This window comes from Homo sapiens, chromosome 15 (genome assembly GCF_000001405.40).
Source record: "Homo sapiens chromosome 15, GRCh38.p14 Primary Assembly".
In the NCBI taxonomy this organism is placed as follows: Eukaryota; Metazoa; Chordata; class Mammalia; order Primates; family Hominidae; genus Homo; species Homo sapiens.
This window is the reverse complement of record NC_000015.10, coordinates 90,954,543-90,964,107: the sequence shown is the minus strand read 5'-3', so window position 1 is coordinate 90,964,107 and position 9,565 is coordinate 90,954,543. Positions and strand designations below refer to the sequence as shown.

Genomic DNA, 9,565 nt, shown 5'->3' with positions numbered 1-9,565 from the left:
CTTCTCATATGCTCACTTGCTATCCTTCTGTCGTCTTTGTTGACTTTTGTCCATTTTAAAAAATGGCTTGGCCAGGCATGATGGCTCATGCCTATAATCCTAGTACTTTGGGAGGCTAAGGCAAGTGGATCGCTTCAGCCCAGCAGTTTGAGACCAGCCTGGGCAATATGCAACAACCCCATCTCTACTAAAAATACAAAAAACTAGCCAGATGTGGTGGCACGTGCCTGTAGCCCCAGCTACCCGGGAGGATGGCTTAAGCCCAGAAGGTGGAGGCTGTACTCCAGCCTGGACAACAGAGAGACCCTGTCCAAAAAAAAAAAAAAAAACCCACAATGAAATACCACTTCACACCCATTAGGATGGCTGTTAACCAGAAATAGAAAACAAGTGTGGACGCGGATGTGGAGAAATTAGGATTTGTGTGCACTTCCAGTGGGGATGTAAAATGATGCAGCCTCTGTGGGAAACAGGGCAGTTCCTCAAAAAAATTTAGAATTACCACACAATCCAGCAATTCCACTCTGGGTATATATCCAAAAGAACTGAAAGCAGAGACTCAAGAGAGTTGTACACCCATGTTCCCAGCAACATTATTGACTGTAGTGAACAACTCAGATATCCACCAATGCACGGATGAATAAAACGCAGTGTATACATACAACAGAATCTTAGCCTTTAAAAGGCAGGAAGTCTAGATACATAAGCTACATCATGGATGAACTTGGAGGACATGCTGCTAAGTGAGATAAGCCAGTCATAAAAAGACAAATACTATGGGATTTCACTTACATGAGGCACTTACAGTATCATAGGAACAGAAGGTTAGGACTGTGGTTGCCTGGGGCTGGGGAAGGGGAGACTGACGAGTTAAGTGTTTAATGCACAGAGTTTCAGCATAGAATGATGAAAAAGTTCTGGAAATGCATAGGGGTGACGGTTGCACAACAGTGAATGCATATAATGTCACTGAACTATGTACTTAAAATGGTTAAAAACAATTTTTGTTTTTTATTGAACATAAATTTTATGTTCAGTATATTTTACCACAATAAAAAAGACCCCATGGGTGGGAAACATTTGCTAAACCACAGACACACACATGCACAAATAGAATTTAACTATAAAGAAAACTACTGATAAGCTTATTTTATCAAAATAAGTTGATACTTGTAAAGCACTTTGAGCCTTACCTGGCATGGAGTAAGCATCACCTAAGTATTAAAATTGGTAATACCAAGAGAGACTGAAACAAACTACATTGTAGCAGAAGATACTCTGAATACTAACTCTCAAAAGACTTGTATCTGAAATATCCAAAAGAAAAATCACTAAGGAAAATACAGAACATTTTAAAAGGCCAGAAAACTTGAACAGGCACTTGACAACAGAAAAACTCCAAGTGGCCAATAAACATATGAACTCTTCGCCTCAAGCAATCTCCCTGCTTAGCCTCCCAAAGTGCTGGGACTACAGGTGTGAGCCACCATGCCCAGCCATCCAAAACAAATGAAAAGCTACTCAACCTCATCAGTATCCAGGGAAATGCCAATTAAAACCAGTGTGCATCTACCTGACATTTTAGCCACAGTAGACCCCACCCTGCTGGGGGCAACAGTTATCTAGTAAAATTAAAGGTATCTCCTGACTTAGCAATTCAACTCAATGTTCTGCAAAGGAACTTGTGCACATGTGCAGAAGACTGCACAAAGAATTATGTGGAATGACCAAAATCAGAAACAATAAAAATGACCATCAACAAGGCTGTATCACTTGAGGTATTATTCATACAACAGAACACCATATAGCATTAAAAATGAACTCCAGGACCCAACAAGGATGGATTATACAATGCTGAGTGACAAAAACGACACAAAAGCACATACACAGGATTCCATTTATCTAACACTCAAAAGCAAACACAACTATGTCGTATAAGGCTGCATACAAGAATGGTAAAATTCAAACGAAAGCAGGGAAATGACTGACAGAAGACGATGACCTGGAATGTGCCCCAATCTCAGCTGCACATCAAATGTACCTGGGATGAGGTGGGTGGAGCTTTGAATCTACCACTATCCAGGCCACACACCTAGAAGCTCTGGTTTCATTGTTTCATTGATTTCATTGTTTTGATTGATGCTGACCTTAGGCAGCAGAGTTTTCAATGCTCTCCAGGTGTTTCTAAAGTGCAGACAAGTTTAGGACCGTGCTTGAGGGTGAAGGGCAGGACTGTGATGGGGAGGGGCAAATATGGGGCCCTTGGGGTGCAGGCAATGGTTTTCCTTGACCTGAATGGGGGTCTCACAGGTGTTGCATATACATATACGTACACATGTCAGCTCTTCCCTTTCTCCACAGCATACACGTAGGTGTTCCACGGCCCACAGGTGACAGCCTTTACTTGGAGTTGCTTATCTACAAAGTATTCCACACGGCGAGGCCGATCCAAGCTGGTGGTGTCCTCGTGGCCCAGCTGTCCATATTTACCTAAAGTGAAATCAGCCCCTTTGCCATCGTCTCCACTGGGTCTTGCTGCTGCTTTCCCTCCAGGAAGGGGCCCAGACTATCAAATGAAGTGCTGGGATTATGCCCCACTGCTCTGTGAATCCAAGAGACCCAGAGCCAGGCAACCTTGGGGATCCCCAAGAGGCTAGTGGCGACCAGCCACTCCAGGCAAGACGCTCCTCCAGACTTCCCTGCTATCCAAGCTAAGATGTTCAGAGCACACACTTCCATCGAATCTTTTTCTCCACCCAGTGTCACATCCACAAAAAGCTGCTTTGTAAGTGCTGGTTGGATACTCCCTTAAGACAGTCTTTCAGAGAGGTAGGCGGGTGGTACCGATATCCTCTCCATGTCTCCCCTGTCTGGCCTCGGACTGAGCGCGCCTATGTCTGTTCCAACCCCAGGGAGGGAGCAGTCCTGTTCCTCCCAGTGACCTGGCCGAGGCCCCTGCTTCCTCCAGTCTTGTTGGCTTTGTCACCTGCCCTGTACTCCCAGGTCTTTCTTCTCCTTGGTTTCAGGGTCACAAAAACAATCCTTTTACTTACCCCAGCCCCAGGTGTAGAGCTCCCCTGTTCCTGAAAGCAAAAGGACAATCGATAGTTGTCACTACGGTTCTTTGGCAAGGCATCTGTCCAGCCCAGCTTGGCACAGCCCACAGCTAGCATATTACAATCCTCATGAGATCTGCCTGGCATGGAACAACATATTCTCTTAACAACTGGCTGATCACACGTGGCATGGCAGAGGATCCCGAGGGAAAAAGTGGCGGATCTTCCTGTGTGCCATGCTACCGAGCGCCGCAGTCTTCCATGCCAGACTGGACAGTCCCTGCTGTCAGAGGCGGCGGCGGGCAGGGAATGTGTCTGTGGCCGTGCAGGGAGGACAGAAAGCATCAGCCTCCCACCAGAAGGAAGAAACTTCTGGGCCTGACAGGCTGGGGAACTACTGTGAAACAACAAGGGGGTTGGGGCTTATCCACTGAGCAAGGTAGCTGCTCTGTATGAGCCACAGAAGCCTTAAGACAGAAGTTTTTCCGTCGACCACACCCCCTTCCGTAGGCACCAGCTCGAGTGGAGCAGAGTGCCTCCCAGCCCCACTCACGTGTCACCACAGCTGTGTGCCGGGATCCACAGCTGGCCTTGACTGCATCTGAGCCCATGGGGAGATCCAGTAATGCCGGGAAGGGCTGGACAGCTATGAAGGGGGCAGGGGCTCCATCCTCAGCCCCACCCGTTCTCTTCACCTGAGAACCATCTTCATTCAGTTCTGTGGCTTCAGAATGATAATAATGATGTGAACACCAACTGAGCCCTGAGCTAAATCTTATTCATGCAGTCACTTATTGCCACAACAGCTCTGAGGTACACGACTGCCTAGCTCCAAAGCTGGTGCTCCCAACCCCTACATTCTGCAGGCAGGGCTGGCACTGCTGCACAAGTGTGTTGTGCCAAGACCGGCATCAGCCTTGCCAATGCTCCCTCCCATAAGGGGCTCACATGCTCCATCTGAGCAGTGTAGCTCTGAGGCCAGCATACAGCCAGGAGTTAGGAATGACAGCCACATCCTGGGGAGACGGCTGTGGGAGCCGAGATGACCCTCACCTTCCCTTGCGACAGTCTCTCCATCCTCTGCCAGGTTCCTGGTGGGCAGGGCCAGCTGCCCTGATTCATTCCAGCCCCAGATATAAATATCCCCAGTCTCTGAAAGAGATCAAGGGGACACATGAAACAGACTGTGAAGCCCCTGCATCCATCCAAACTCTCCTCCCCATCGCATCCGCTCCTGGGGACAACTAAAGCCTGCCCTGCCCAAGGTAGCACTCCAGGCCAAGGCGCTTCCCCTCGGGCCCCAGGGGCTTGTCTTAGGTTCACATCCCCTCAATGCCTTCAGATCACCCTTTAAGTCCCTTACTGGACCTTCTACTTCCATTCTTATGCTGCCAAATAGCCCCTCATTTCAGAAATGTATCCCTAGAAGTACCGCAGTGGTCTCCCTTTCAAAACCACTGGGCCAGGGCCAGGTGCATTGGTTCATGCCTGTAACCCAGCACTTTGGGAGGCTGAGATGGGTAGATCACTTGAGCTCAAAAGTTCGAGACTAGCCTCAGCAATATGGCAAAATCCCTGTCTCTAAATAAGTAAATAAAACAACCACTGGGCCGGCCTGTGCCCCTTTTTCAACTGCACCCACAGCCGGTCCTGATGAAAGCCACGTGCAGCTCTCCCCTTCCTGGCCTCCCACAACACTGGAGCTTTTTGGTTGGAACAGCTGCCTAATTCTAAAAATTTCTAACAATAGCTGCTTTATGAAGTGCTTAATCCATGCTGATGTTTCACATGCTTTTCAAATATAATCACTTAATTCTCACAATAGCCCTACAGGTGGTTTTATGACAATATCACCATTTACGCAGGATCCCTATTTTATTCACAACTGAGGCACAGAGGGGGTTAAGTACCAGGCCCGAGGTCCCAGGGCCCGAGCAATGATCTGAAACTAGGAAGTCTGGTGGGATGTGTCCGTGCTTCAGCCTCTACACTAAACTTAAGGCCTCAAACTCCTTCTGGACCTTGAGTGCAGGGCGTCCCACTGGGCTGTTTCCAGCCCTCTGGTCTCTCCAGCCCAAGGTTGGGGTTTTTTTTTTTTGTTTTTTTTTTTTTTTTAGACAGACAGAGTCTCACTCTGTCACTCAGACTGGAGTGCAGTGGTGTGATCTTGGCTCACTGCAACCTCCACTCACGCGTGGCTCAAGTGATCCTCCAGCCTCAGCCTCCCGAGTAGCTGGGACCACAGGCACGAGCCGCCACGCCCAGCTCATTTTTATATTTTTTGTACAAAGACGAGGTTTTGCCACGTTGGCGAGGCTCAGCCCAGGGTTTCCTGAGCTTGGCAACCAGCCCAGGCCCATTCCATGAGAATATGGTGTGGAGGAAGGCACTGGTAGCTTTTCTTTTTTTTTTTTTTTTTTTTTTGAGACTGAGTCTCGCTCTGTCGCCCAGGCTGGAGTGCAGTGGCACGATCTCGGCTCACTGCAACCTCTGCTTCTCAGGTTCAAACGATTCTCCTGCCTCAGCCTCCCGAGTAGCCAGGACTACAGGCGCACACCACTGCACCCAGCTAATTTTTGTATTTTTTTTTAGAGACGGGGTTTCACCATGTTGGTCAGGCTGATCTCGAACTCCTGACCTCGTGATCCACTCACCTCGGCCTCCCAAAGTGCTGGGATTACAGGCATGAGCCACTACGCCCGGCCCCCTGGCATTGGTAATTTTTTAAGCTTCCAGGTGATCTACGTAGCAGCCAGAATGAGAGCCCCAGACACAGACAAAGATCATCTGTTCCCAGCCTCACCCTCTCTGCATGGGCTCTAACAGCCTAGGAAGGAGCTACACCTGGATCACCAAGTGAAACTCCTCACTCTGGCCAGCTGTGGCACCACCACAGGGACACACTCATCACCATCCTGGTGCCTGGTGGGCACCCCAGTGTCCACCCTGTGCCACACATCATGGCCCCCTAGGCAACTGCAGCGTTTCTGCGTTTTCCTTGGCTCAGCTGCCCCCTCACACTCCATACTCCCTCGGCAGCACTGTTAAGAGACAGTCCTGGCTGGGAGCAGGTGGGGAGAGGAGGGGAGGGGCAGTGAGACCAGTAACAGAGAAGCTAGGAACAAATGCCAGAGTCCAGGCGTGAGTGGGCCATGGTGCAGGCAGAGGAGGCCGAGGGTGAGAGGCATTTAGGAGTCATAACTGACTGGGCGATGGATGGATGAATTTGGAAGGAGGCCTGGGTAGGCCCCCACCCAAACTGGAAAACGAGGAGGAAGGTTTGCACAAGATCATGAGCTCGTCTGGAGAAGCACTAAGTCACTCACCACTCACACACACAGAATGCCAGCCCCCCGCGGCCACCTCAGCCATGACTAGGCCCTGCAACGCCTCCAACAGCCGTGGCTCCAGCTCTGCCTCCAGGGTCCCATGGCCCAGCTGTCCATGCCTGAGCAAGGGAGACCGTCGTCAGCTACAGTCGCATTAAGGGGTCCCGCTCCGCTTGCTTCTCCAATCAGCAGCCCTCACCTGCCCCCGCCTCCGCTCACCTGCCCCCGCCCCAGGAGAACACCTGGCCAGCAGCGTCCAGCAGCAACGCGTGCTCGGCGCCCAGCTCCAGCTGGCGTGCCCGCAGCTCCGGAGCCAGAGGCCGGTAGAAGGGCGCCCGCGGGCTCACGTAGGCACGGGCGCAGGGCAGCAGGGGTAGCCTCCCAGCCTGGGCCTCACCGGCCGGATCGTCTTCCCCTTCGGCCTCGGGCACCACATTCTGGGCCCACAATGGCTCCCCACGCAGCGCCGATTCGGCCGCCCAGACCTGCAGTAACGCCTCCGGCCCCGGCCCGGCGCGCAGCACCGCGAGGAGCCCCTCCGAGGCCCACGCGTCCTTGCAGCGGCCCGCCGCGCCGCTGGCTGAGCCCGACAGCTCCAAGCGGCCTCCACCTGCGGGGCGGATTGGAGCAGGGTGGCCAGAATGGAGGCGGCGGGGATGGGGGGAGCGGGGTGTTCCTGGGAAGGGGTCGAATTGGGGACCAACCCAGAATGTGGGGCTGGCGGCCTGAACGGGGGAGACAAACTGGACTGGCCACAGCGGTGCGGGGAGGCGACTGGGGAGCGCGGCTGGAATAAGTGGGGACGGGGCGGGGAGTGCTCACGGGTCACGAAAGCGGTGTAGCTCCAGCTCGCGCTCACGCGGCAGATGTCGACGCCCGCCCGCAGCGGACTGGGGCTGTGCACCTGGCGCCCGCGTCCGGAGCCCAGCTCCTGCCCGAAGCCGCAGAAACCGAAGCCGAACCAGGCCCCCGGCCGCTCCTCCGCCATGCCCGAGCAGCGCCCTCTGCCGGCCGCCGCCTGGCTGCGGCGGGCCCGGGGGGATTCTTGCGAAGAGCCCGCTAGTGGGACACTGGCAAGTCTCTGGCCTTCCAGGGGCTGGAGCTGCCTTATCTGTAAAATGGAGAAACTATCATTCTCCCGACCACAAAGGCAGAGTCCGTGCCACGAAGGTTCGCTGAGCAGGCGCCCTGACTAATGCCCTACCGGATTTACAAAGATGCTCAAATATTTAGAGGCACTTTCCCTGTCCTCCCTTTTGGCTCAAGCTCAGCGTGCCACAAAGTGGGTACGAAGTGGCCTGTCCTTTAGGCATTGGACTAGGATCCGAGCGCCCCCGACACCCCCACCCCGTCCCGCAGCTTCCCAGCATCTGGCACTTTATCCCATGTAATCTTGGGAACCAAAATGGTCGTTTTACAGAGGAGATTCTGAGACAAAGTAACCCTTACACACTCATACAGCCAGACAGAGAGGGGCAGAGCGCTGAAATCAGGTCCCACCAACTCCACACACAGTGCTCTGCCCCTCTCCCCACAGCGGAACGCAGAAGAGCGTTTGGGAGGCAGTGCCTCTGCAACTCAGCGGGGCCTTGGGACCGCAGCCAATCCACCTGAGTCCAACTGCGTTTCTTCAGTTTACAAAGGGAGGTGGGGGCGGTGCTGTTTGAACCTTCCTCACAGAATTGTAATAAATGCAAATAAAGGGTTTGGTGCGAGTACATGCCATGATAAACACACAGTATTAGCTTACTGAATCCAGTATTTAGTGTTGACAAAAAAATTATCCCTGGACATCTTACTGGTTTTGAGAAACTTATACAGACAGAATTTCAACTGTACCTTATCTAGCCATTTATTCGTCCAGCGAGCATTTACTGAGCGCTCCTCCTCTGCCAGTGAGGACAGCTGTCTGCTCCCAAGGAGCTAACCGTTAAATGGGGAGACAAACAGTCTGGTGGTTACAACAGCAACGCCAACTTCAAGCAGATTCGGCTGGAGCGGGTTTGTTTTTTTTTTTTTTTAATATAATAGAGACAGGGGTCTCGCTATGCTGCCCAGGCTGGTCTCAAATTCCTGGGCTCGAGTGATCCGCCCGCCTCGGCCTCCCAAAGCGTTGGGATTACAGGCGTGAGCCGCTGCACCCGGGCTGAAGCAGAATTGCATGGGCATTTTCAGGCCTCTTAAGTCAGATCCTGGGTCTCTCCTGAGACCCCAGTTCCTGGGCTCCTAACCCCTTCCGTGTCCTCTCCCAACCCAAGGGGGCCTCTGACCTTGATCTTGACCCTATGCCCTCTACCCTCTCGGGCAGGTCCTTCTGGTGGGCAGCCTTGGAGGAAACGCCGAGGCGCAGAGCGGCCGCCTCCGGAAAGGCCTCCCGCCCAGCGGGCGCCGACAGCCACGGGGAGAAAAGGTTTGAAGGGCGCGCGGCGCGAGGCGGCCAATCACCAGCAAGGGCGGTGACGTCGCCGCCCGGGGCGCGGCGGCCGCAGCCCTGTTCAACTCCCCTTGAGGGCCTCTCCGGTCCCGAGGCCTACGCCGGGGCCCTGCGGCCCGGTCTGTGAAATGGGCTGAAACCTCCGAGGGGCGTTGGACCAAGGCCCTGGAGGAAACCGGGGGCGTTGGACCAAGGCAGAGGTTGGGCCAGGTGGTCCCGCCCCTGCAGGAACCCGTGGGGCTGGAGCTCGGATTAGAACCACAGAGAGGACATTCATTAAGACTTGAGCTAAAGGTTTGGCGAGGAGTGACGCCCAAGACGGGCGGACCCCGCCACCCACCTCAGTCCCGGGACCGCGGCAGCTCAAAACCCGACACGCGCCGGACTCATGCCCCAACAGGAAGCAGCTTTTACCTTCCACGGATTGGCTCAGGACCCGTCACGTGCCTCTGTCGAGCCAACGAGCCTCACGCTGGGCTTAGCCCTCCTCGAACGTGCTGGGGTGGTGGGCGGGGCCCAAGCCGCCCTTCAACCAGGCTCAGCTGGCCACCAACCCCAACCCCCGCCCCAGCGCCCTCAGCGGAGGCCACAGAGGACTCCCAATATAAAGACAAACGTACTGAAGGCCCAGCATATGGGAGTCTCTACCCTAAACGACTTATTTCTTGGGATAGTTTAATATTTTTTGAGATAGGGTCTCGCTGTGTCGCCCAGGCGACACTTTGGGAGGCTGCGCTCTGGGCTCA

At 53.5% G+C, this 9,565-nt stretch overlaps 1 protein-coding gene across 5 annotated transcripts, besides 5 other annotated features; it reads right to left on the bottom strand.

The window, feature by feature from the left end:
- RCCD1 (RCC1 domain containing 1) lies at positions 983-9,224 on the bottom strand. 5 transcript variants are annotated; one of them, XM_047433317.1, is made up of 9 exons: positions 8,656-9,224; positions 8,225-8,308; positions 7,208-7,496; positions 6,605-6,995; positions 6,383-6,504; positions 4,110-4,208; positions 3,610-3,780; positions 3,054-3,083; positions 983-2,490 (listed from the first exon to the last, which is right to left on the bottom strand). In XM_047433317.1, exons 3-9 carry the CDS (start codon positions 7,371-7,373, stop codon positions 2,339-2,341), a joined length of 1,131 nt encoding a protein of 376 aa, XP_047289273.1. In that variant the 5' UTR covers positions 7,374-7,496; positions 8,225-8,308; positions 8,656-9,224; the 3' UTR covers positions 983-2,338. The 5 variants fall into 5 exon arrangements, with proteins under 5 accessions (XP_047289273.1, NP_291022.2, XP_047289272.1 ...); NM_033544.3 differs by having other exon boundaries at positions 9,160-9,224; XM_047433316.1 differs by lacking the exon at positions 8,225-8,308.
- Positions 7,098-7,147: a silencer, noted in NCBI's record as "silent region_6836". NCBI's record gives its function as "represses an Ori minimal core promoter by ATAC-STARR-seq in GM12878 lymphoblastoid cells {active_cell/tissue: GM12878}" and the evidence as "EXISTENCE:reporter gene assay evidence [ECO:0000049][PMID:35858748]".
- Positions 7,268-7,497: a silencer, noted in NCBI's record as "silent region_6835". NCBI's record gives its function as "represses an Ori minimal core promoter by ATAC-STARR-seq in GM12878 lymphoblastoid cells {active_cell/tissue: GM12878}" and the evidence as "EXISTENCE:reporter gene assay evidence [ECO:0000049][PMID:35858748]".
- Positions 8,728-8,857: a silencer, noted in NCBI's record as "silent region_6834". NCBI's record gives its function as "represses an Ori minimal core promoter by ATAC-STARR-seq in GM12878 lymphoblastoid cells {active_cell/tissue: GM12878}" and the evidence as "EXISTENCE:reporter gene assay evidence [ECO:0000049][PMID:35858748]".
- Positions 8,988-9,542: an enhancer, noted in NCBI's record as "H3K27ac hESC enhancer chr15:91497796-91498350 (GRCh37/hg19 assembly coordinates)". NCBI's record gives its function as "activates a minimal SCP1, AML or CMV promoter by ChIP-STARR-seq in naive H9 embryonic stem cells {active_cell/tissue: H9 hESC(naive)}" and the evidence as "EXISTENCE:reporter gene assay evidence [ECO:0000049][PMID:30033119]".
- Positions 9,078-9,187: an enhancer, noted in NCBI's record as "active region_10106". NCBI's record gives its function as "activates an Ori minimal core promoter by ATAC-STARR-seq in GM12878 lymphoblastoid cells {active_cell/tissue: GM12878}" and the evidence as "EXISTENCE:reporter gene assay evidence [ECO:0000049][PMID:35858748]".